This window comes from Homo sapiens, chromosome 13 (genome assembly GCF_000001405.40).
Source record: "Homo sapiens chromosome 13, GRCh38.p14 Primary Assembly".
Lineage (NCBI taxonomy): Eukaryota > Metazoa > Chordata > Mammalia > Primates > Hominidae > Homo > Homo sapiens.
The window spans coordinates 110820592-110848433 of record NC_000013.11 but is presented as its reverse complement, the minus strand read 5'-3'; the positions used below and the strand labels follow the sequence as shown (position 1 = coordinate 110848433).

Sequence of the window (27842 nt, the reverse complement as noted above, 5' to 3'; positions counted from 1 at the left end):
CCCCTTTGCTCGCACTTCTCCTTCCTGCCGCCCTCTGAAGAAGGGGCCTTGCCTCCCCTTCCTCTTCTGCCGTGATTGCAAGTTTCCTGAGGCCTCCTCAGCCATGCTTAACTGTAAGTCAATTAAACCTCTTTGCTTCATAAATCACCCAGTCCCAGGCAGTTCTTTGTAGACTGATACAGCTCCAATCATGGCTTATATGTGGCACGTATTCTCATCTTTCTGTCCCTTGCTTTTAACTTTGTTCTAGTATCCTTAACCTGTACATTTTTGTCTTCAAGTAGTCAAATCTGTCCCCATCTTCTTTATGGTTTCTGAATTTAATTTCCTATATAAAATTGCTTTCCTGACCACAAAATTTCAAAAATATGCTGCTACGTATTCTTTATTCATTTGTGACTTTGTTTTATGTCAAGTTTTTTTTTTTTTTTTTTTTTTTGAGACAGAGTTTCACTCTTTCACCCAAGCTAGATTGCAGTGGCATGATCTCGGCTCACTGCAACCTCCGCCTTCTGGTTTCAAGTGATTCTCCCGTCTCAGCCTCCTGAGTAGCTGGGATTACAGGCGTGCGCCACCACACCCAACTCATTTTTGTGTATTTAGTAGAGATGGGGGTTTCACCATATTGGCCAGGCTGGTCTCGAACTCCTGACCTCGTGATCCACCCGCCTCAGCCTCCCAAAAGGCTGGGATTACAGGCATGAGCCACAGCACCTGGCCATATCAAGTTCTTTATCCATTTAGAATTTATTTTTGCATGTGGTATGAAGGAAGCATTCACTTTTATTTTCTTCTACATGTATAGGCACTGCCCCAGAAACATTTATTGAATGACTTCTTCACACTCTTGAAACACCGCCTTTAACCATGTACTGAATTCTGTGTGTGCTTGGGCAGGCCACTGGGTTCTGCTTTGTTCCTCTGGGCATTTGACTATGTTTGTGCCAGCTTCCTACTCTTTTTTTGTCTACAACGCTTATTTATTTATTTTATACATTTATTTTTCCTGCTGAACATTGGAACTGAGTGATCATGTTACCCAAAAGCTCTCCTTGGAGCTTCTGACTAGAACTGATCCCAGCACTTTGGGAGGCTGAAGCAGGAGGATCGCTTGAGTCCAGGAGTTCGAGACCAACGTAGGGAGATCCCCATCTCTACAAATGATTTTTAAAAAAGTAGCCAGGCATTGTGATGTGTACCTGTAGTCCTAGCTACTTGGGAGGCTGAGGCTGGAGGATGGCTTGAGCCTGGGAGGTCAAGGCTGCAGTGAGCTGTGATTGTGCCACTGCACTCCAGCCTGGGCAACAGAGCAAGACCCTGCCTCAAAAAAAACCTGCATCATATCTCTATATTAATTTAAGAAGAACTGTTAATTTTTATGAAAAACGTCTTTGATATTAAGAACTTGAAATTTTGGAAAATGTCTATTATAAGAAAAGAAAGTACCCCTCCCCACATGCGTGCATGTGCACACACACACACACACACACACACATACCATCCTATTTAAACCCTGAGTGTTTGTGCATTTCTTTCCTGATTAGTCAAATTCTGAGGGAGGGATATTAAAGCTTCCCACTGGGATTGTATTTTAACACGTTCTCTTTGCATTTTTGGTGTTTTTGCCTTGTGTATGTGGTTTGGTGCATAAAGGTTCTTGGTGGTTTACCTTTTTAGTTGATTATTCTTTTTAACTTGGCAAAACATCCCTTCCCTAGTGATGCCTGTGGATGTCACATTGGTCCCTCCGGATCCCTGCCCCTGCTGTCTGTCTGAATAGGCTGACCTGCACCCTGGGGGGCTTTGCGCCTTGGCCCACAGATTGCAGAGAGGCCGCTCCTTTCCCAAGGGCTCAGCTCAGGTTGGTGCCAATGTTTCCCCAACAGCTTCAGGGTCCTTCCCACCGACTCTTCCCTCTGGTCCTGGTAGCCACTCCCTTCCCCACCCTGTCAAGCCTTGGCAGAAGACAGTCCCACAATTGCCACTACAGAATGTCACCTGCGGGAGCCTCAACACTGCCCCACCCTTGAAAACCCTCCTCAGACCATCCGAATTCGAGGATGCTGTCTGCTTCCTGGGAACTTTCCCTTTGGCCTTAAATTCCACTTTGCCTGCTGTTCTGCTATTTCACACGTGCATGTTCCTCTTTTTAGCTCTATAATATTTTTAGGCTGCCTCATAAAAATAATATAGCTCAGTGTTTTGCTTTCAATGATCTGAGTTTTTGTCTTCTTATAAAGGAATTTGCTCACTTCCGATGTACTGTTACCAACTCATTATATACTTCAATTTTAGTCTTTTTTTCTCTTTCCTGATATTTATCAAATTATTCAAAAGAATTTTCATTTAGGTTTTGATATTGGTAGTTGATGTTTTATTAATATAATGTCTCTGGACCAAGAGTGATTACCTTTCTGAGAGTCATATCATACCTCTACCTCAATGTCAATGCACCAAAATAAACAATACTTCTGCCTCCTGCCTTCCACTGGAGATAAGCTCCGTAGCCAGCTTTGACTTGTCGTTCCTTCAGCACCAAACTCCCAGGTTTGTTTGAAATAATTTTGAATTTTAATTTCACTTTCCTTATTATTTTTCTTATCGTACAATTCTTCTATTTTAGGAATCCTTTGTTAACCTCTGTTGTAGTTCATGATCACACAGTAAATATCCATTAGGTTCAGGCTCATATTTAACTGGATTTGTTATTCCCCACTCTCTCCTACACATTGCATCATCCTCGGTCTTTGATTTTCCTGAAGTACTTTATTGAATAATTTCTTTGAGTGTTCAGAAATGCCTTTCTTTGTCTCTCATATATAAATAATACTGGATTGATTCTAGGATTACAGTGCTTTTCATCTAAAAAATCTGTCAGTATTATCCACTGCCTTCTGCAGATAAGAAAGTCAGTGCCAACCTGATTCTCGCTCCGCTGTGAATAACGTAAATTTATCTGGGAACCTGTGATGTTTTCTCCTGGAGTTCAAACATTCATCAGGATGTGTCTTGACGAGTGACTTTTTAGGGGCTTCCTACCAATCAGTAAGATTGTTCTGAAATTCACCTTTGTTCTGTTTCAGGAAGATTTTTTCTCTCCATTTCCATGCCTCTTTCTCTCCTGCATCTGTTCTGTTCCATCCTTCTAGAATCCCTGTTACTCAGGCACTAGGTCTCTTGTTCTAGTCTTACTTATAATTCCCACTCACCTATATTTTTTATCTGTATTGTGAGATGATTCCTCCATTTAATTTTCTAGATCACTCAATTTGCTTTTGAAAGTGGCCATTTTAATGTTTACTTCTTCTATCTGTGTATTAAATTCTAGAAATTCTCTGAGCCCTCTTATGTCCTTAAAAGTCTATACTATATATTTACATTTTTACTTCTCACCTCCTTTTTCTCCTGGAGTTCCCTCAATACAAATCACTTGTTCTGTCACCTTGGATTTGTTCCTTCAAGCAACAAGAGGTTCTCAACCCTGGTGGACCATTAAGATCACAGCAACCCCCACCCTCCACCAAAAAAGGCTCCACCCCTACAGGTTTGATTTAGTTGATCTGTGATGGGTTGAGGGGCATTGCCTTAAACCATCAATGTTCCTTCTTTATCTGTGAAGGGAAACTCAATAAAAAATTTAATCAGAACCAATACCATCTCCTAGGAAATAGAGCAGCTCCTGAGAGCAGATGGAAACCTTCTCTATGCCCTGGAGCCATATGCACACATGTCTACCAGGTATAATCTTCTGAGGGCCATTGCTGTGTCGTAGAGCATCTACCAGTTCAACCTTAGAATGCATGTCATGAAGTGTGACAAGGACCAACATAGTATCATCAGCAGGTATGAGAATTCCTTCCACCCCACATACTTGCCCATCTTTTCCATTTCCGTCCTTCCGGTGGCTTTGAGGATGCCTCTCGGGCTACTCATTTCCCCGACTACTACTGAAGTGAAGGCTTGTTTTCTCACAGATTTATCGGCCATTTGGATGTCATTATTGGTAAGTGAGTGCTCAAGTCTCATGCCTACTTTTCTATTGAGTTTTCTGTCCTGTTTTTGTTGATTTACGGGAGTTCTTTAGCTATTCTAGATATGAACTCTTTGTGAGTTATATGTTCACAGCAGCATTATTCATAATATGGAAACACTGAAAACAATATGAGTCTCCATCACTAATAGAATGAGTAAATAACTGTGGTATAGTGGTACAATGGAAGACTATACAGCAATGAAAACACATGAGCTATAGCAACATGCGAGAATATAGGGGAACTGCACTGACATACTAACTGAAAAAAGGCAGATACAAAAAATCTATTCATATAAAGTTCAAAACCAGGTGTATTAGTCTGTTCTCCTGCCACAATAAAGGACTGCCCGAGGCTGGGCAATTTGTAAAGGAAAGAGGTTTAATCGACTCACAGTTCAGCATGGCTGGGGAGGAGGCCTCAGGAAACTTACAATCATGGTAGAAAGCGAAGCAAACACGTCCTTCACATGGCAATAGGAAGGAGAAGTGCTAAGTAAAAGGGGGAAAAGCCCCTTATAAAACCGTTAGATCTCATAAGAACTCACTCACTCTAATGGGAACAGCAGCATGGGGGGTAACCGCCCCCATGATTCAATTACCTCTCACTGGGTCCCTCCCACAACATGTGGGAATTATGGGAACTACAATTCAAGGTGAGATTTGGGTGGGGACACAACCAAACCATATCACCAGGCAAAACTAAACTGTAGTGTTAGAAGTCGAGATAACAGTCGCCCCTCGGAGAGGTAGGTTGGTTAGTGCTGGGAGAGCACAGAGTGCTTCTGGGCTGATGTTGATTTCTGGACCAGGATAACGGTTTTCCAAGTTTGTTCCCTTTGCAGTCATTCTTCAAGCCATACACTAGTGATTTGTGCATTTTACTGGATATGTGTTATAATCCATGAAAATGTGATAGCAGAACAAAGCTGATGTCACTCTTCTGTGATGTGGCCAGGTCTCCAGACACATCAGCAAAGAGCCCAGTGCGACACATTGGGGCCCACTCTTTCCTCAGGAGAGGATGGAATGCTGCTTGTGGAAGAGATACTGTTTCTTCAGTAAAGGCATAAACGGTGTCTGGGAAATATATTTACTAATCACCTAGTAGAGGAAGCCGTGAGCCCTCACGGCTTCCCTGATGTGGAGCCTGGACAGTGGAACTGGCAGGCCCACATGCACCTTGCTCATGACACTGGGCCCAGCTCCCACCCCACCCTACCATGCCTGTTGGATGTGTCCACCAAGGTGCATCCAAGAGAAGCCAACAGGGACATCTGTGTCCCACAGGCCCTTTGTGAAAAGTTCTGGGTCCCATATGGTCCACATTAGCTCTCTCAGCACCTTTCAGATAATCTCCAGAGCTGACCACTGGGATGTGGAGACATAAAGTAGTATAGGTCACAACGGCTGGGGAGGAGTTTGAGGGTGAGAGTCTAATGGGGACAGATTTCAGTTGGGGAAGATGAAACAGTTCTGGAGAAGGATGGTGGTGAAGGTTGCACAACAACGTAATGTCCTTAATGCCACAGAACTTTACACTGAAAAATAGTTCAAATGGTAAATTTCATGTTTTGTATTTTTTACCATAACTTTTAAATAACTTTTAAAATGAATAACTTTTAAAATGAATAAAGGTGAGGGATGACATCAGCGAACATGGTGGAGTAAGAACATCCGAAAATTCTCTTTCATAAAAATAAATAACTGGCAAAAATGGTTAGAATCAACTTTTTCAGAACTCTGGAAGTTAACTAAATGATTGCAGCAATTGAGGGGGGTATCAAGAAGAACTGCTGAGTTTCAGGAAGAGCAGTGATCTTGGTGTGTTCTAGCATTTCCTGTTCCCATCTCCCACTCCCCAGTTCTGCTGCAGCATTGGAACCCAGAGGCCCCCATCAGCCTGGCCATCAGCAAAGGGACAGGATGGGATCGGTGCTCATCCAAAGCCTCATTTCCACAAAATTGTCATTATCTGACCTGTTGAGTGGCTGCCTGGAAGTCCTCACTTGCAGCGTGGTCTTTATTTGACCAGTTTCAGAGTTTGCTGAAAGAATTAGAGATAATTGTTTAACTTTGCAGCTGTCAGCCAGCTGGGCAGACAGTAAGCTCACCAACAAGTGTAAGAGGAGAAGCTGACGAATTAGATGTCCAAAGGTGCTTTGCAAAGCTCAGACAGAGCATCGAGCCACAGAGAATTATTGAAATCAAATACAATTTTCCTGCTAGATTTTGGACTTGCTTGGGACCTATGATCCTTCTTTTCCTTCGAGTTTCTCCCTTTTGGAATGGGACTGTGAATCATATGCCAGTCATGCTATTGTCATTTGGAAGCAGATAGCTTATGTGGTTTCACAGATTCACAGGTGGAGAGGAATTTTGCCCCAGGATAAACCATGCCCCAAGTCTCTGATTATGTGATTTAGATAATGGGACTTGAGACTTTGAGTTGTGCTGCTTAGACGAGATTTTGGCCTTAGAGTTGCTGTGGGAATGGTTAAAACTTTAGTCAATGTTGAGATGGGGAATGTATTTTGCTTGTGGGAAAGAGATGAATATGGGGGAGGCAGAGGGTGACGTGTTATAGGTAGAATTGTGTCTCCCAAAAAGACATGCTGGAGTCCTAACTCTGAATACTTCAGAATGTGACCTAACTTGAAGTAGGGTCATTGCAGACATAATTAGTTAAGATGGAGTCATACTAGTATAGGGTGGGCCCCTAGCCCGATAGGACTGATGTCCTTGTAAAAAGAGGAGAATGCCATGTGAACACAGAGACACACAGGGAAGATGGTCACAAGAAGACAGAGGCAGAGACTGTGGGGATGCTGCCACAAGCCAAGGGGTGCCTGGGGCTACCAGAAGCTGGAAGAGACAGGAAGGATCCTCCCCTAGAAGCTGCAGAGGGAAGATGGCCCTGCAGACACCTTGATTGTGAACTTCGAGCCTCCAGAACTATGAGAGAATGAGTATCAGTTGTTTTAAGTTACCCATTTAGTGACACGTTGTTATGACAACCCTAGAAAACTGATTCAGAAGGGAAATTCTTCAACCTGAAAGGGATCAGCAAAAAAAACAAAAAACAAAAAAAAAAAAAACAAAACCCACAGCTAACATTGTACTTAGTGGTGAAAGACTGAAAAGTTTTCCCCTAAGATCAGGAACAAGAAAAGGATGTTCACTTTTGCCACTTCTAATCAGCAATTTGCTGAAGTTTCTAGCTAAGGCAATTAGGCAAGAAAAAGAAATAAGCAGTGATGAAATTGGAAGGAAAGAGAAAAGCTATCTCTGTATGCAGATGACAAGATTTTGTATATAAAAATCCTAACGAATCTTCAAATATCTTATGAGAAGTAATAAACAAGTTTGGAGAGATTGCAGAATACAAGATCAAGAAAAAAATCAATTTTATTTTATACACTAGAAAATGAAATTAAGAAACCAATTCCATTCACAATATTATCAAAAAGCATAAATTGTTTAGGAATAAATTTAACCACAGAGGTGCAAGACTCCTACACTGAAAACTGTAAAGCATCATTGAAAGAAATTAAAGGCCTAAATATAAATGGAAGGACATCCCAAACACACGGAGTGGACAGCTTCGTACTGAGAACAGGCAATCTCACCCAAGTTAATCTACAGGTGCAGCACATTCTCTACCAGAACCCAACTGCCTTTTATTGCAGAAATTGATAAGCTGAACCTAAAATTCATGTGGAAATGCAAGGAACCCAGAATAGTCACAATTATTTGAACTAGAAGAACAGTTGAACACACACTTTCTGATTTTAAAATTTACCACAAAGCTACCTTTTCCAAGACTGTGTTGTGCTGGCCTAGGGATTGAAATACAGATCAATGGAAACGGACGGAGAGTCCAGAAATAAACCAATACACTTATGGGGAATTGATTTTTGACCAGGATTTCAAGATAATTCAATGGAGGAAATAATCGTCCTTTCAACAAATGGTGCTGAGACAACTGGATATTTATATGCAAAATAAAGAACATGACCCCTACTCACCCCACATGAAATTAACTCAAAATAGATTAAAGGGCTAATCTGTAAATTCTTAGAAAAAAGACATAGGTGTAAATCTTTGCAATCTTGAGTTAGCCAATGGTTTCTTCATTGTGACACCACAAGCACTCATAACCGACAGCAACTAAAAAATAGACATGTTGGACTTCATCAAAATTAAAAATTCTTGTGCTTCAAAGTATATTGGCAGGAAAGTGAAAACATAACCCACAGAAGGGGAGAAAATATTCAAAAAACAGATGTCTGACAATGGTCTAGTGTGCAGAATTTATAATGAATTCCTACAACTCAACAATAAAATGATAAATAGCAGAATTAAAAATTGGGCAAAGGATTTCAATCCAAATTTTTTGTTTGTACACACACTATATACAAATTGTCAGCAAACACAAGAAAGATGAGCTACATCATTAGCCATGAGGGAAGTGCAAATCAAAACCCCCATGAGAGACAATGTCACACCCACTGAGATGACTATATTCAAGAAGATGGACAAAATCATGTGCTGGAAAGAGAGGGTGGAAGAGATAGAATATGGCACCATCTCAACTTGGGTGGAGTCTGGGTGAAGAGTAGGGGAAGAAATACACAGCTGCAATTATTCTCTAAGTCTGAAATTATACCAAAAGTAAAAAGTAAAGAAGAAATGATATTCATTCCCTTATCCTTCTTCAACCTGTGTGCCAGCCATTTTGCTCATTATCTTTGAAATAATTTTGAAAAATAGTTCTCTGTACACAATTTTAAGTTATATATATATTTACATAATCCAATGAATTTTTTTTTTGGTTATCATGCATTCTATACATGCTTTAAATTGTATTTTTGTCAAAATCTTGGAATTCAGACTTGACTCACTTAGTTCATGCAAAATATCTGCCATATGACCTAATTGGCAAGGCCAGCCCCCACTGTCAAGTCAGGATGCCAAAACCCAGACACTAATTGGTGTTTTTCTAACCTTGTTTTTCTAATTCAAATAAACACATTACTATTATATATTTCTGTGGCAACCTTTTTACTTCTGAATTCCAATTTCAAGATAGGGGAGGGGAGGGGAGGAAAGGGGAGGGGCGGGGAGGGAAAGAAAGGGGAGGGGTGGGGAAGGGAGGGGAAGAGAGGAAAGGGGAGGGGAGGAGAGGGGAGGGGAGGGGAGAGGGGAGGGGAGAGGGGAGGGGAGAGGAGGGGAGAGGAGAGGAGAGGAGAGGAGAGGAGAGGAGAGGAGAGGAGAGGAGAGGAGAGGAGAGGAGAGGAGGAGAGGAGAGGTAGAAGTAGATAGTTAGCCAGGGTGAACACAGAACCCATCATGGTTTGTGAACTGAATGAGATACGCTTCCTGCACATTCAGTTTTTCTTATGGGAATTCAAGGTTCTCCCTCACAGGAGTGATGAACTTGGTCTGTACGGTTCGTGTCCAGGAGTTTCTTATTTCATATTTTCTATCTATCCATCCATCTATTGATCTACCTACCATGTCTCTGTCATCTGTTCATCATCCGTACTATCTTCTGAATCATTGGAGAGAGTGAGTGGCAGGCATAATTTATCGCTAAATTTGGGCCTTCTTTTACATTTCCTGGTACAAATATCAATGTCGGAAAATTTAACATTGACATAAAATGAATACCTAACATATAGCCCATATTCAAATTTCACCACTTGTTCCACTGTTATTTTCAGCAATTTTGAGAAGGCTCCAATCCAAGGTTGTGCATCGTAGTTGGTTGCTGGTTGTTTTTTGTTTGTTTTCGTCACTTTCAACCTGTGGGACATCCTCAGCCTTTCATGGTCCCTCATGACATTGATTCTTTGTTATGAGTACAGACCAGTTATTCTGTAGAATGTCCTTCAGTTTGGGTTTGTCTGAAGTTCCCTCATGATTGGATCAGGTTATCTATTTTTGGCTGGAATCGCCAACGGATAAACATTTGATTTATGGTGTAAATGATGTTGGGCTCCCATCAGCGCGTTGTTGTCAGAAGACACGTGGTGTTGATTTTCTCCTTACTGTTGACGTTAACTTTGATTATGTGGCTAAAATGATGTCCGCCAGCTTTTTCCACTGTAAAGTTACTGTTGTTCTATTTATAACTAATGAACAATTTGTGTCTGTGGAAGGGGTTACTTTGAAACTATTGCAAACTGTGGGGGAAAGAAAAAGAGATCAGACTGTTACTGAGTCTACGTAGAAAAAGGAAGGCATAAGAAACTACATTTTGATCTGTACTAAGAGAAATTCTTCTGCCTTGAGATGCTGTTAATCTGTGACCCTAGCCCCAACTCTGTGCTCGCAGAAACAGGTGCTGTATTGACTCAGGTTTAATGGATTTAGGGCTGTGCAGGATGTGCCTTGGTAAACATGTGTTTGTAGGCAGTATGCTTGGTAAAAGTCATCGCCATTCTCCTTTCTTGACTACCCAGGGACACAGTGTACTGTGGAAGGTCGCAGGGACCTGTGCCCAAGAAAGCCTGGGTATTGTCCAAGTTTTCCCCCAACTGAGACAGCCTGAGATATGGCCTTGTGGGAAGGGAAAGATCTTACCATCCCACAGCCCGACACCCATAAAGGGTCTGTGCTGAGAAGGATTAGTGAAAGAGGAAGGCCTCTTTGCAGTTGAGATAAGAGGAAGGCATCTGTCTCCTGCTCATCCCTGGGAATGGAATGTCTTGGTGTAAAACCCGATCATACATTCTATTTACTGAGATAGGAGAAAACTGCCTTGTGGCTGGAGGTGAGACATGCTGGCAGCAATACTGCTCTTTACTGCACTGAAATGTTTGTGTAAAGTCAAACATAAATCTGGCCTATGTGCACATCCAGGCACAGCACCGTTCCTTAAACTTATTTATGACACAGACTCCTTTGCTCACATGTTGTCCTGCTGACCCTCTCCCCACCATTACCCTACAGTCCTGCCACATCCCCTCATCAAGATAGTAGAGATAGTGATCAATAAATACTGAGGAACTCAGAGACCAGTGCTGGTGCAGGTCCTCACTTGCTGAGCGCCAGTCCCCACTTTTCTTCCTCTGTACTTTGTCTCTGTGTCTTATTTCTTTTTTCGGTCCCTCGTCTCCACCTTGCGAGAAATACCCACAGGTGTGGAGGGGCAGGCCCCCTTCAGTAAACTACAAATAACATCCTAAACCCCCCAACTGACTGAACGGACCCCTTTTTGGCCAATGGAACCCCAGAGAAACCTCAAAAACTGAGTTCCCAGCCATGATCAGGTGGGAGATTGGAGACGCCTCATTACACCCCCTTCTTTTTTCAGTTCAGACACAACTGACCAGCATTAACGTTAAAATAGAGATAGTAAAACTGATTGAATGAACTCTTTGTAACAATAAGATATCGAATTATAAACTAGACCTCAGGCCATGCCTGGCAAAGGTTAAGTCACCCACCCCTACACTTAAAGAGTAAGTCTATGTTCTACTCGCCACAAGGTATTTTTTTTAATTCCTTTTTCTCTAGCAGATAATCAAGCACTGGCCTTGAGTTAAGCAATGCTGAAGCAGCTGCAGCCCACCCACCACCAGACTCTGACTGACTGACTCCCAACTCCACCAGCTATAGCTACAGCTTTGATCGGACAAGAGACTGATTTCAGTAACTTTCTCCTGATCAGAGATCACTGACCATGGCCTGGTTCTGGCTGGTTTACAGAGGCTGCACACTCAGTGCCGTTAAGTCCCTGCCTCAAATTTTGACATACAGGTGAACATGTCATACATGGAACATATATGTTTGCTTATCATACATGCACAGAACTCCCCTTCATGAATATTCATAACCCCCTCTATATCTTGTTGAATATGTATACTCGGCCAGCCTACCCCACCCCTCCCTCCCTAGAAGTGCTTGCTTTCATTCTTTTAGCCTGAGACTGCACTTCCTGCTTGCAGGTTGTAATTCCCTTCTTAAGAAATACGGCTCTCCTTTCTAAATTTATAAAGTGTGTGATTTTAAGTTAACACCATGTAAATATGTTGCTTCTCATTACTCTTTGCAGAATAGTTTTAGTATGTATTGATGATTCTTGCTCAAGTTAAATATTAACGTGGTGTTTGCAAAATGTTGATTTTCTAACTCCGTCAGTCCTTCCAAATTTATTAATTGGCATTCTACTTTAAGTAATGTTCCCTCTTTCCCTCCTCCTTTACCTTCCTTCTTCTCTCCCTCCCTCCCTTCCTTCCTTCTTTCCTCTCTTTTTAAGGTGGATCATTAATTCTTATTTTGTTTAATGGTTTATACTCTATTACTGTTAGCATTCATTTTTATGTGCTTAATTGCCCCAGCTTTGGCCAGTAGAAAACGTCTCCAAGCTGACTTCTATGCCATTCTGACACATCCCTTTCATTTTTTGAGCATTTCCTACTTTATAGACCAAGACATTCCAGGCTTATCTTGTACTTGGCCCGTCTTTTCTCTAGAATCAGCCATTTCTCCAAAATGCCACAGTTCCTTTCACTATAGAATGGTGTTTAGAAATCAAGATCTGCATGCAAAATGTGCTCATTGCCGGGCTGCCAGTGTTTCTAGGCCCTTCCATTGGGAAATGCCACTTCTGACTCTTATTCCAAAAGTTCTTAATGATACCCATGGATCCTTCCTTGCCTTTTCCCATCCTGTAGTTCTCTCTCTTCAACACTGAGAATGCTGGCTTCTAATACCATCAATATGGTTGCTCATTTTTCTCAATTCTACAACATAGCCAAGAGTTTCAGAATCACTACACTGTACGGCAAAACATAAACCTGCTGAGATTTCAAGGTTTGCTTACAGTTTTTTTTTTCCCATCAAACTGAAGATATATAGTAAACTACTGTGTTCAGAAGTTGCTTAGATTAGTTGTTTTCCATCACTGTGGTTATGTTATTCACCTGAAATACAGTAAGTTTTATTTGTTTCTGGCTGTATTCAATTTAGAGTATTTCTCCCTATCTTTAATTATTTCATTTTATTTTCATAAGCATATGAATCATTAACCGCAATTCCAAAATTCAAAACTACAAACAAGATATATTCCCCATCCCTTTCACCCCATTCCCATCCACCTTTACACGAAAATCATTTCATTCATTTTGGGTTATCCTCCCTGTGTTGCTTTTTGCAAATATAGCAGGTATTTCAAACTCCAAAGCAAAGCACCATAGGGAGAAGTGGGATGGGTGTGAGTGGTGGCTGCCTTATGAATGGTGGCAGGGGCTCAAAAGTGAAAGGAGAGGAAGTGTGGCAGAAGAGAGGTGTTCTCAGGTAGACCAGTTTTAAGAAATAATACATATGTGTGTAGGGTTCCCCTAAAGCTCTCCATGCCTGTGAGGCCCAAGAAAACATGTTTCCCCAGAAGTTGGTGGGTGCTCAGCCTAAGGACCCACAAATTAGCAAGAGAGTTGTCAGCGACCAGGGCCCACGATACAGAGGCTTTCTTCCCCTCTATTTGAGACTGTCCTGGCCATAGGGAATTGATTCCACACATTTGGCCTCCCAAGTGCCACACAGGGGCAGAGCAATGCCTCCATGCCTAAGCTTCTCAACCTTTAACGTGCACAGCAGTCCCGAGGAATCCTGTTAAAATGCAGGCTGGAATTCAGCAGGTTTGGAGCGCCCCTGACAGTCTGCGGTGCTAACAAGCTCCCAGGTGGCACTGATAACACTCATCCAAGAACCACAGTTCACATAGCAAAGTAGAGCCCTGGGTCTCAGGTTTGGCTGCACATTGGAAACATCTGGAAGCTTAAAAAAATACACTGGTCTCCACAGCCCGTGATTCTGACAGAGGTGGTGTAGGGTGCAGCTTGAATATCAGAACGTTGTCGTGATTCCCCCGGTGAGACCAAGGGGCAGCCAGGTGAAGAACCCTGCTCTGGAAACCAAATTTGGGAATTATTTTATTATGTGTAACTTTCCATCAAATGTTGACCTTTGGTGAAGGGAGATAACGTGTCAACAATTTCTGCTGAACTGCATTGCTCCCTGAAATTCCTCCTTCCACCCAAATGAGGCTGTAATAGGAGCTTCAGGATGGAGAACATCAATTCTAATAAAGGAACATGTTTGGCCTCAAATTGACACATTTTGCAGCATATTGCTATTAGGATGTGTTTACTGACTCATTTGCCATAGATAACACTTCTTTTACAATGATGAAAAATCTTAAGCGTCTGCCTTTTTGTCTAACAATGAGTAAATTAAACATTTTCATAAGGAGGAAGGGCAAGTGTTCAGTGACGATTCTGACATGGTTTATGGAAATAATTCTTGGCTCATCTTCCTAAAGGTGCTCTACCAGGTGTCCCGTGTGCCTGGATAACCTACCTGCATTGAGATTGTGCACACACACACACACACACACACACACCGCGGCACAGAAACATACATAAGACACACACATACACACAACACACAAAAGCAATTGTGTTCTAGCCTGGTGGAACAACCCATGTCCACCAGCCTGGTGGCCTCCCGCAAACCACATTTACGGCAATGATTTGTTGAAATGGCGCCACCAGTATCTTGAATTCCCTTGCCCTTAAAGAAAAATGTCCCAGTAAGCTTTTGATCCACCGTGGAGGATCTGTAATTTGGAACCATTAAATGTATCTGTCTTTTTCTCCAAACTATTTCATGTTCTTCATCATGAGACTAACAACATGACTGAGCCGTCATGGTTCTAACTCCAGTCATAGATATTTCTGGAAAAATGCTTACAACTTGAAATGGAAGGTAACCTTGAGCACAGTTATCGTACTGTGCTCGGTGCTGGAACGTGGTGTTGCCGGGGCTATTTGTGCTTGGACCTTAGATGAAAATTCCTGTTTAAATAAATATTCTTAACTTTTTTACATTATTTCAGTCCTTGACTCTTCATCAAAAGCAAACAAGACTCTTAACCAAAAGTGGAGCAAAACTGTGCATTTGTTAAATAGCAATATCTTTGCATCTGTTATTTCTCATTTTGGCCAAAAGACCCAATTTATGCTACATCCATTCTCCAGACATGTAGAATTACCTTGCTTGTACATAACATTACCATGTGGGATGTTTTTTAATGCTTTTGAAGTCTGTGCCAATAAAATGCCCTCAGCTTACAAGCAGGTGTGGGCACAGGGCAGAGACAGCCTGTGCTCAGCCTCCTGTCTGGAGCCTCAGTTTGCTGTGCCCGTTGGGGCCAGAGAGGAGAGAGGGCTGCCTGGCCTGGTGAGCCATGGTCTCCTTTCCTGGCAAGGTTCTGCTCACTGCCCTCAGCCCAAGCTGGACCACGCAGTTCCTCGCATTCTCCTGAAGGACTCTGCTTGCAATGCAACTTAGAGTGCTGAATTAGCTTCCTGGGGCTGCTGTAACAACGAACTGGGGGGCCTTAAAACAACAGGGATTATCATCCCCCGGTTCTGGAGGCTGGAAAGTCTGAAGTCAGGATGTCAGCAGGGCCGCCTCCCTGAGACTTGGAGAGTCCTCCACAGCCCCTCCCCAGCTCCCGGGGCTGCCGTGAGGCTCAGGGTTCCTTGGCTTTAGATGTGCCGTGTCTATCTCTGCCTCCATCTCAGGCCTTGTCCCGTGGGAGTCTTCACACAGGGTTCTCGCCTCCCCATAAGGACATCATGCTGGACTAGGGCCCACCCTCATGATCCCCATGACTTCATCATGTTTGCAAGACCCAATTTCCAAATAAGCTCTCATTCACAGGTACCAGGGTTTCGGGCTCCAGAACCCTGGTTTTCACGGGACACAACTCAACCCATAACAAATACCAAGTCTGGGCTTTTCCAAGCTGTGAAAACCCCACTGCCTCGGCTCCAAGTTCATGCAGCATCCTCCGCATGTCAATCAAAGGGGACCCTCTTCATAGCAACCAACAGACCAGCGCCTCTGTGAGGGTCTCTCCAGGGAACACCAGGGTGGTGCCGCCTCTCATGTGCTCTTTCTCCCCTGCCTTCCCACAGCCCTGGGAGGACACTCTTCTTCCCCATGCTCCTCCCCAAGCCCAGCATCATCCTTGATCCTCGTCACCCTTCCTCCCCCCAAGGCACCTTTACCTCCTCCCACAGAGCCCCTTGGGTGATATGAATCTCTCCTCTCCCAGCTCCCAGGCCCCCACCTCTGGCTGCTGTGAGGTGGGGAAGGAGCCTGATCTCCCGCTTGGGCAGTGAGGGAGGGAGGAAGCCGTGATTCCTGGGCACTGATTTTTGTCCCTGCCACCCACGCCACAGAGACAAACCCTGGTTATTTAATGAGGCTGAGGACTCCTCAGTGGGAGGACAGCCCCTCAGGGAGACTGAAGCCCATCACTGCCCACTCGGCCTCCCAGCTCCCTCCCTGGATGGCCCATCCTGCCTGCTGCCTCCCGCCGCCTCGCCTGGGGCCTGCTGGTGTCCACCGTGGTCATCGCCATGGACAGGAGGGGCAGAGGCATGGTGAGCCCCTTGTGGCCTGGTTTCCCTCTTGGTTTTCCTCTGCCCTCATCCCCTGGGTGAGAAGAGCCTCCTGGCTGCCATCCACCCACTCCACATGCACCTCTGGGTGGTTCCCTCGCTGTGTCTGCAGGGACCAGGCACCATGGCCTGGGGGTTCACACAGCAGAAAGCTCCTGCACAGTCTAGAGGTGGGGAGGTGAGATAAGGGTGTGAGGAGGGCTGCGCTCCCTCTGGCTAGGCTTGGGAGGTGAGCTCACCCCAGGGCTGAGAGCTGGGCAGAGGCCTCCATGGGGGGCTGTGGGGGGCAACTGCATGGCAGGGGCAGGGGCTGGGCCACAGGCTGGGGAGAACCTGTGTGGGGCTGCAGTGGGGTAGATGGGGATACACAAGGGGGCCCTGCTTGACCGAGGAGAGCAGGGAGGCTGCCCACAGGGGTGTGCCATGCACAGTATCTCTTGGTGCTTTATTCAGTGCTCGACCCGGCATTAGGTACGTGGAGTGAGGGCCTGGGTTAGGGAGAGGAACAGGAAACACTCTTGTTCCATTACAGCCCCTGCTCAGGACCTGTCCTTGACTGCGGGCAGGGCCTGAGTATTTCCTGCTCGCCCTCATCCCTTCATTTTTTGGTCCCTTGCTCTGGCAGGAGATACTCAATGACTAACCCTAGATTGATGGATTTTGCCGACAGTGAGATGAATTCTCCTTAAGCAATTTGTCCTGTCAATGGATCAGCTTTACTCTGTGAAAACTTGATTTGCTTAACCTTTGTTTGAGAGATAGGAAACTGTCTGGCATCTCAGGGTTTGATGAATGACAGAGCTGCCAGTCACAGAGGAGAGGGAAACCGTTCTGAAGCCTAACCACCTCTGTATCCACCCACTCCCCCGCCAGGTGACAGCCCACACAGGACAGGAGTGAGCCGCGCATTTGGGACAGCAGAGACCGGCAGCAAAGCCTGAGGCTCACGGGATGGGAGTGTTGCTGGGGGCGGAGAACAAGGGCCCCTCCCGGAAAGGGCAGAGGTGACACGAGGGGGAAGGCAGCTCCGCCAGGGCAAATAAGATCAAGTCAGGATGGGCAGACGGCAGCAAAAGGAGCCACGCAGGAGCCACCCCCCGGGAAGGGAAAAAGAAAACCCCACTGGGGAACTGGGCTTCTGAGCCCACCTCCTCGTTTCCCTCTGGCCTCATCCCACCCCAGTGAGAAGTGATTCCGCTGCTGCCCACCTCGCATTTATTCTTGGCTGGACCCGCTTGCCGCATCTGCGAGGACGAAGCACCATAGACCAGGTGTTTGCACAACGGAATCTCTTCTCTCCCAGCTCTGGAGGCTGGAAGTCCGAGATCAAGGTGTGGGCCAGCAGCACTTCCTCCGGGGGCTCCTTCCCTGTCCCTTCAGCTCCCGGTGGCCGGCCATCCCAGCTGTGCCTCGGCTTGTAGATGTCCATGCCTCGCTGCAGCCTCTGCTTCCACTGTCTCGCCACCCTCTTCCCTGGTGTCCCTCTGCGTGTCCTCTCCTCTGCTTATGGAGACACCAGTCATTTGATTTAGGGCCCACCCTACTCCAGGAAGACCTCATCTTCACTCACGACATCTACAAAAACCCCATTTTCTTTTTTTTTTTTTTTTAGATGAAGTCTTACTCTGCCGCCCAGGCTGGAGTGCAATGGCATGACCTTGGCTCACTGCAACCTTCGCTTCCCGGGTTCAAGCGATTCTCTTGCCTCAGCCTCCCAAGTAGCTGCCAAGTAGCACCTGCCATCATGCCCGGCTAATTTTTGTATTTTTAGTAGAGATGGGGTTTCACCATGTTGGCCACGTTGGTCTTGAACTCCTGACCTCAGGTGATCCCGCTCACCTTGGCCTCCCAAAGTGCCTGGGATTACAGGCATGAGCCACCACACCCGGCCAAAAAACCCTATTTTCAAATAAGTGCAGATTCTGAGGCTCTGGGTAGAGATGGATTTGGCAGGGACACAATTCAAACACACTACAATAAGTGATGTCATCAAGGTAGAGAAACAGAAAAATAGAAAGAGAAAACCTCTGTCTCTGTTCTGTGTCTCTGTGATCTTATGAGAACATCCCAGAACAATGTATTCATCCTTAAATGATGTTAGGTCCAGGCAATTCAGCCCAACTCCATGTCTAAGCATCAGAAGACCCAGCTGGACCCATCGCCTTGTGTGCTAAAGACTCCAGTGAAAGCAACTGCCCTACCCTGCTGCCACTGGCCCCACCACCGCCGCTGGCTCGATACACACCAGGGCTGGGGCTGGTGGCGTCAGAGCCACATCAGTGGAGATGTCCACTGGGGAGTGTGCGGGAGACCTTGGGGTCTAACCAAGCCTGTGATCAGTAAATAGGTGAAGACAGAGTTAGCTCTAAGTCCTCTCTCTGCCGCGTACTAGCTCTGCAGCCTTGGGCAAATCTCTGAACCTCTCAGAGCCTCAGTTTCCTCCTCTGGGAAATGGAGGCATCAATGGCTACTGTTTACTGGGCGCTGTGATGTGCAGCAATGCTGTAAGGATTTCCTGCATTAACTCACTTAGTCCCTGCAATGACTGTAGGAAGAGCTTTTCATTATTACAGTCATTTCAGAGACAGGAAAGAGCTTAAGTGACCTGCCGAAGGTCACACTGCCTTAAGAAGTGGGTCTGGGTTTTGGACCAGAAGCCTGAGTCCTGACACTGAGCAACTACTCCTGTGGCTTCTCAGGCATGGCCATCAAAAGGGGACAACTGAAACATCGTGGCGCCAGGCAGCCCGAATGAGGCACTGCCATCAAATAGACACTGATGGCAGACAGCAGATGGCCCTGTGGGTGTGCTCGCAGCAAGACCTGGTGAAATCGCGAAGGCAAAGGTCTGATCGAGTTTGAATGTGTGTCCCCACCCAAATCTCATGTGGAAATGTGGTCCTGAGTGTTGGGGGTGGGGCCTGATGGGAGGTGATTGGATCACGGCGGCAGATCCCTTGTGAATGGCTTAGTACCATCCCCTTGGTCATGAGTGAGATCTGCTTGTTTAAAAGCGTGTGGCACCTCCTGCTGTCTCTTGTTCCCAATCTCGCCATGAGACAGGCCTGCTTCCGCTTTACCTTCCACCATGAGTAACAACTCCCTGAGGCCTCCCCAGAAGCTGAGCAGATGCCGGTGCCATGCCTCCTATACAGCCTGCACAACCATGAGCCAATCAAACCTCTTTTCTTATCAATTACCCAGTCTCAGGTATTTCTTTATAGCAGTGCAAGAATGGCTGAACACAAGGTCCCATATAAAGTTGCTAATTTTTTTTCTTTCTTTCCCTAGAAGCTCTACCTTCCTCACCAGGAGTTTTTGTCTCCCGTAAAGGCTTCCAGGTCTAAGTGGTGAGCAGTTTGGACTCTTTGGGAGGTGTGAATGGAATCCTCCCTCTAACTTGTGATAAATATATGAAGAAAAGTTGAACCATTCATGTACCCCGGCAACCATCCATCCATTAACACTGCTAAGGACCAGTGCTAGGAGATCCAGAGTCTAGGGGCTTCTGTGGGCCCAGTCCCTGAGGAGCCTGAAATTTATCAGGGAGGCCAAAAAGACAAACACCTATGGTAACAGGTGGAATGTGGTGAGGAGAAAAGTATTCTCCGATTGGAGGAGCACTCACGGTACAGAAAGAAGGATGAGGGGACTCCACAGGCTGGGGAGCTTGTCCCCAACATGGCCGAGGTATTCCTGGCTCTTCACAGACCCATGGACAAATGCCCCACCATCAGAGGACATTGGGTAGGCTGCCCATACACCCTCAGCAGACACTGGGCATGGTACTTGTCCACTGCGTTAGACCTTTCTTGCATTGCTATTAATAAGTACCTGAGGCCGGGCACCAGTGGCTCACACCTGTAATCCCAGCACTTTGGGAGGCCGAGGTGGGTGGATCACGAGGTCAAGAGATGGAGACCATCCTGGCCAACATTGTGAAACCTCGTCTCCATTAAAAATAAAAAAATTAGCTGGGCATGATGAGGTGCACCTGTAGTCCCAGCTACTCGGGAGGCTGAGGCATGAGAATTGCTTGAACCCAGGAGGTGGAGGTTGCAGTGAGCCGAGATCATGCCACCGCACTCCAGCCTGGGCAACAGTGTGAGATTCTGTCTCAAAAAAAAAAAAAAAAAAAAAAAAAAAAAAAAAAAAGTACCTGAGACTGTGTAATTTATAAGAAAAGAGTTTTAATTGGCCCAGAGTTCCACAGGCTCTACAGGAAGCATTGTAGCTTCTGCTTCTGGGGAGGCCTCAGGAAGCTTCCTGAGGCAAATGGGAACCAGGCACATCACATGGTAAAAGGAGAAGTAAGAGAGGTGAGGGGCAGGTGCCACATATTTTTAAATGACCAGATTTTGCAAGAACTCACTCACTGTCTCGAAGACAATACCAAGCCATGAGGGATCCACTGCCATGATCCAATCCCCTCCCACCAGGCCACACCTCTGGTATTGGGGATTACAATTCAGCATGAGATTTGGGTGGGGACAACATCCAAACTCTATTATTCCCCATCATTAGACACTGGGCATGGTGCCTGTCCATAATCATTGGACACAGGGCATGGTGCCCGTCCATAATCATTGGACACTGGGCATGGTGCCCATCTACCATCACTGAACACTGGGCATGGTGCCTGTCCATAATCATTGGACACCGGGCATGGTGCCCATCTACCATCACTGAACACTGGGCATGGTGCCTGTCCATAATCATTGGACACTGGGCATAGGGCCCGTCCATAATCATTGGACACAGGGCATGAGGCCCATCTACCATCACTGAACACTGGGCATGGTGCCTGTCCATAATCACTGGACACTGGGCATGGTGCCTGTCCATAATCACTGGACACTGGGCATGGGGCCCATCCATTATCACTGGACAATGAGCTGGACACTGGGCATGGTGCCCATACACCCTCATTAGACAATGGGCATTGTACCCATCCATTACCAATGGACACTGAGCATGGTGCCCATCCACCATCATTGGACCCTGGGCATTGCACCATCCACCATCACTGGACACTTGGCATAGCACCTGTTCATAATCACTGAACAATGGCTATGATGCCTGTCCACCATTATTGGGCATGGCACCCATACACCCTCATCAGACACTGGGCATGGTCCACCATCATTGGACACTTGGCATGTCCAATGACCATAATTACTGAACAATGGGCATGGTGCCTGTCCACCATCACTGGACACTGGGCAAGGCACTTGTACACTCTCATCAGACATTGAGCACGGTACACCATTATTGGACACTGGACATGGCGCCCATCCACTATCAATTGACCCTGAACATACCTGTCCATCATCATTAGACACTGGACATGGCGTCCATCCACCATCAATTGAATCATCATTAGACACTGGGCATGGTGCCCATCCACCATCAATTGACCCTGAACATACCTGTCCATCATCATTAGACATTGGACATGGCACCCATCGATAATCATAGCACACTTGGCACGGTGCCTGTCCATAATCACTGGACACTGGGCATGGCCCATCCAGCATCACTGGACACAGGGCATGGCACAGTCCCCACCATTGGACATGGGACACAGTGTCCATCTACCATCAGGAGACTCATAGCACTGGACATGGCACTCATCCATTCAGGCCTTTGAGAACGCCCAGAGGAACAGTTTCCTTGGGCAGCAGAGCAGCCATGGGACTCTGAGGGAGCCATGCTTGGTGGGAGTGAAGGGCAGGCGGTGGGCAATGTGGCCAGAGAGTTGCCTCACTGGGCTGACCCGTGTTCCCCAGCAGCTGGCAGCTTTGTGGGTCAGTTTCCACCCTCTCCATGGGCTCAGGTGGCCTCAAGTGTTGGGAACCACCCCACTTTAAAAAGATTAATCAATAAGTCACATTAGCAAATTCACCAACAGCAAATTGAACCCTCACTGTCTATAGGGGACATACTATGAGGAGGAATCAGTTAATTTATGCAGATAGCTAATTACCCCTACAAGTAACCAATTACGAAGCTGCTATTTCTTTGGATGAATGCTGAGCCTGCCCACTGACATCTGACCCAAAACACTGGACCTGCACTTGACCGTGGTCTGACGGAGGAAGCACCCGGAGACAATTCCAGCTGGTACAAGAGTTCACTCGGAAAGCAGGGCTTGGAGCAGGGGCCAGCGCCTGCTGCTCAGGGTCAGTTCCCCCGCTGCCAGTGTGGCTAACGTTAGCCTGGGCATGTGGATGAGAAGGAGCTTGAGGGGTGGGTAGGAACAGGAGCCCTGCCCCGGAGGCTGTGGCCATGGGTGGAGTTGGGAGAGTCTGAAGGAGCCCTCACCTCGAGGGTTGTTGTAAAAGAGTGTGAGCTCCCTTGAAAGATAAGCCGCGCTCGGGGAGCTCCATTCCTCACCCCGGAGCTGTGGGCTCAGCCTCTCAGCACCCTGGGCTCAGCCTCTGAGTCCTGGCGTGGGGAAGACGATGCCTGTGTGCCACAATTGTTGGTGGATTAAATCATTCACTAGGTGTCCATCTCCATCCGCAACAGTCACAACTGGCTTGGTGGAAGAGGTTGTTCTGTACTAGCCACAATATTTGTGATTCTCCTCCCTTTAAATGAATTAATCAATAACATCATTGTCAAATTCACCATCAGCAAATTGAACCCCAAAATTAAACATCCAAAACACAGACTGACTCAGTGGTGGTGCCAAGGGGGGCTTAGGTGGAGATGTTCACATTTGTCGAGCACCTTCACCAGGGCGTGGCCATGCCTGGCGCAGGGCTTCCAGCCCACCTGACCTTCTCTGCAGGCGCTGAACACTCCCAGCCTCCCGCATTGGGGTGGGGCCGTGTGATTCCTTTCAGGCCAATGGAGTGCAGCCAGAAGTGACAAACCCACTTCCAGGATTGTCCTAAAAACTCTCACAAAATCATCTCCACTCACCGCACCCGTCGGTCCGCTGGGAGGTGGTAAACTGAGGTCCCAAATCGTCTTGTAGAAAGTAATCTGCAGAAAATCAGACTGGACTGTGATGTAAGCCAGAAATCAGCCTGCATTGGATTCACCCTTTTCCTGTTTAGGAAAAAACAAAAAGTGCAGCTCACTCCCAGCGCTCATTTAATTTTACATAAACACGCTCTTTGAGGCTGAAGCAAATCAGATTTTCAATGTGAAAATAAAATATAAAAGCTGTTCTTGGAGTTATTTCTAAACAGAACTAGCATCAGAATTGTCTGAATCATCAGAATTGTCTATTTTTGAAAAATCAGATTCATCAAATGAATCTTCAGCCAAAAACTGTTTGAGAATGATGTTAACATCACGCGGAGGAATGCTACGTTTTCTAGGATTTGACATTTTCAGCGATTGAGAATGACTGTATTTTGTAAATGGAAGTACCTCTACTAAAAACAGAGTGCTATAAATAGAATGATGTGTTTTGTTTCCAAAGTCGATATACTCGAGCACTGTGAAAATAATAAAAACAAGATATTGTGTGGCAAAGTTATCTCGGGGTAAACGCTGCAGCCACAAGCACCACCAGTGAGTATTCTTGGAGCAAATAGGAAAGGGTTAAACTGCTGGGATTGGGGGGTTATCTGTTACCAGGCTAACGTTTGCTCAATTCGAATACAGAGCATGTATTTCCAAGAAGTTGCTGCCTGCATGGAACAAGCGACAAGTCACCTGTGGCCAGAAGCCACCCCCATTAGATTCCACAAAGCCTTAGTGCGAAGGATTGGTCAGCAGGGGAAGCTTAGAGATTGGACCAGCCTGGCCAACATGGCGAAACCTCATCTCTACTAAAAATACAAAAATTAGCGCAATCTCGGCTCACGGCAACCTCCACCTCCTAAGTTCAAGCGATTCTCCTGCCTCAGCCTCCCGAGTAGCTGGGATTACAGGCACCCACCACCATGCCTGGCTACTTTTTCTATTTTTAGTAGAGATCGGGTTTCGCCATGTTGGCCAGGCTGGTCTCAAACTTCTGACCTCAGGTGATCCACCCACCTTGGCCTCCGAAAGTGCTGGGATTACAGGTGTGAGCTACCACACCCAGCCTGAATCTCCAATTTCTAAGCCTCCCTGCTGACCAATCCTTCTTCAGAATGAAACCATACTCCTTCGGCTATTTTAATGTCAGTTCTCTTGTGTCAAAATAAAATACAAACACCCCAAGTGACACCACTCTATTAATACTGGATTCAGTTCACTGTAGCTTGGATGTTTAACTTTTCAAATTACGAGAAATGAGCCAGGCACAGTAGAGCATGCCTCTAGTCTCAGCTACTCAGGAGGCTGAGGCAGGAGGATCACTTGAGGCCAGGAGTTCAAGGCTGCAATGCACTAAAATCATACCACTGCACTCCAGCCTGGGCAACAAACCAAGAAATAAAATTATAAGAAATGATCATTCGTTATAAAATTAACCTGATATCCAATATTAAGAGTTAAGCCGGGTGTGGTGGCTCACATCTTTAATCCCAGCACTCTGGGAGGCTGAGGTGGGCGAATCACTTGAGGTCAGGAGTTCGAGACCAGCCTGGCCAAGAGAGTGAAATCCCATCTCTACTAAAAATACAAAAATTAGCATGACATAGTGGTGGTGCGCCTGTAATCCCAGCTACTTGGGAGGCTGAGGCAGGAGAGTCTTTGAACCCGGGAGGCAGAGGTTGCAGTGAGCTGAGATTGTGCCACTGCACTCCAGCCTAGGTGACAGAGGGAGACTGTCACAAAAAAAAAAATAAAGAAAGAAAGAAAAAGAAAAAAAAACTATTAAGAATTAAAGAGGCCAGGCGCGGTGGCTCATGCCTGTAATCCCAGCACTTTGGGAGGCTGAGGCAGGCAGATCACGAGGTCAGGAGATCGAGACCATCCTGGCAACACGGTGAAACCCCGTCTCTACTAAAAATACAAAAAATTAGCCGGGCGTGGTGGCGGGCGCCTGTCGTCCCAGCTACTCGGGAGGCTGAGGCAGGAGAATGGCGTGAACCCGCGAGGCAGAGGTTGCAGTGAGCTGAGATTGCGCCACTGCACTCCAACCTGGGCGACAGAGCGAGGCTCCGTCCCAAAAAAAAAAAAAAAAAAAGAAAGACGTTTGAACTTCCTGACTTCTTACACAGGCCTAGTTCTTATAACATCAGACAGACGAGCACCACCTGCGGTGTTCATTCACATACTTGGGTTGAAAAAGACAGACGCAAGCTCAGGCTGGAGTGAGGAAAGGACACAGAGAGGTTTCATATGTGGGCTGTCTCAGGATCCCGAGCCTCAGGAAGTGGCTACAACCCAAACTGCAAAGACCCCAGCACTCTTTTTCTCAGCGTTCAGCCTCCACCTGTGTATTCGCTTTGCTCCTCCATCTCTAGACGGCTTTCACTACTTACCTGGGCTCCAGGCTCCATGAAATTCTGTGTCCGGAATTGGTGGGTTCTTGGTCTCACTGACTTCAAGAATGAAGCCGCGGACCCTCGCGGTGAGTGTTACAGCTCTTAAGGTGGCGCGTCTGGAGTCTGTTCCTTCTGATGTTCAGATGTGTTCAGAGTTTCTTTCTTCTGGTGGGTTCGTGGTCTCACTGGCTCAGGAGTGAAACGGCAGACCTTCGCGGTGAGTGTTACAGCTCTTAAGGCAGCATGTCTGGAGTTGTTCTTTCCTCCCGGTGGGCTCGTGGTCTCGCTCGGTTCGGGAGTGAAGCTGCAGATTTTCCCTGTGAGTGTTACAGCTCATAAAAGCAGCATGGACCCAAAGAGTGAACAGTAGCAAGATTTATTGCAAAGAGCAAAAGAGCAAAGCTTCCATAGCGTTGAAGGAGACCCGAGTGGGTTGCCAATGCTGGCTCGGGCAGCCTGCTTTTATTCTCTTATCTGGCCCCACCCACATCCTGCTGATTGGCAGAGCCCAGTGGCCTGTTTTTGTCAGGGCACTGATTGGTGCGTTTACAATCCCTGAGCTAGATGCAAAGGTTCTCCACGTCCCCATCAGATTAGTTAGATACAGAGTTTCCACACACAGGTTCTCCAAGGCCTCACCAGAGCAGCTAGATAGAGTGTCGATTGGTGCATTCACAAACCTTGAGCTAAACACAGGGTGCTGATTGGTGTGTTTACAAATCTTGAGCTAGATACAGAGTGCTGATTGGTGTATTTACAATCCCTGAGCTAGACATAAAGGGTCTCCAAGGCCCCACCAGAGCAGCTAGATACAGTGTCGATTGGTGCACTCACAAACCTTGAGCTAAACACAGGGTGCTGATTGGTGTATTTACAATCCCTGAGCTACATATAAAGACTCTCCACGTCCCCACCAGACTCAGGAGCCCAGCTGGCTTCACCTAGTGGATCCCACACCGAGGCTGCAGGTGGAGCTGCCTGCCAGTCCTGCGCCGTGCGCTCGCATTCCTCAGCCCTTGGGTGGTCGTTGGGACTGGGTGCCGTGGAGCAGGGGGTAGTGCTCGTCGGGGAGGCTCGGGCTGCACAGGAGCCCATGGAGTGGGTGGGAGGCTCAGGCATGGCGGGCTGCAGGTCCCAAGCCCTGCCTCGCGGGAAGGCAGCTAAGGCCTGGCGAGAAATCGAGCACAGCGCCGGTGGGCTGGCACTGCTGGGGGACCCAGTACACCCTCCGCAGCCACTGGCCCAGGTGCTAAGTCCCTCATTGCCCCGGGCCAGCAGGGCTGACTGGCTGCTCCGAGTGCGGGGCCCGCCAAGCCCACGCCCACCCGGAACTCCAGCTGGCCCGCAAGCGCCGCACGCAGCCCCGGTTCCCGCTCGCGCCTCTCCCTCCACACCTCCCTGCAAGCTGAGGGAGTGGGCTCCTGCCTTGGCCAGCCCAGAAAGGGGCTCCCACAGTGCAGTGGGGGGGCTGAAGGGCTCCTCAAATGCCACCAAAGTGGGAGCCCAGGCAGGGGAGGTGCCAAGAGCAAGCGAGGGCTCCGAGGACTGCCAGCATGCTGTCACCTCTCAGTTCCACCAAGGCAGAAGGCAAACCTTATTCCAGATTTGCAGAGGGTCTAGCCTGAACCAGTCCACTATGGATGGGAAGTGGGCCCCAGAGAGCACACGGGGCATGGGGCTGGGCCTTCCCAGATCAGGGACCCTGAACCCGTAAGTCATTCCCTGCAGGAGCCACCACCCTCAGAGGACACTCAGCTCCCCACGAAGCCCTTGCTGTCCAGTTCCGCTGCTGCTTGTGTTCCCTGGACGCCACGTGCCCATTTCACAACTAAACAGTTAAATCCTCGAGGGACTCACCCCTTATTTCTAAGGGTTTTCTTAGGTGGGCAGGATGGACAGGCTGGAAGCAGAGTCCTCGGTGGAAACATTAACTGCAGAGATAACCACTTCAGA

At 46.8% G+C, this 27842-nt stretch overlaps 1 long non-coding RNA gene across 1 annotated transcript; it reads right to left on the bottom strand.

Moving 5' to 3' along the window:
- Window positions 1-13958: 13958 nt before the first annotated feature.
- On the bottom strand, window positions 13959-26327 carry LOC105370363 (uncharacterized). Its single transcript, XR_007063874.1, has 2 exons — window positions 25887-26327; window positions 13959-23571 (listed from the first exon to the last, which is right to left on the bottom strand). It is a non-coding gene; the product is annotated as an uncharacterized LOC105370363 (long non-coding RNA).
- Window positions 26328-27842: the final 1515 nt, after the last annotated feature.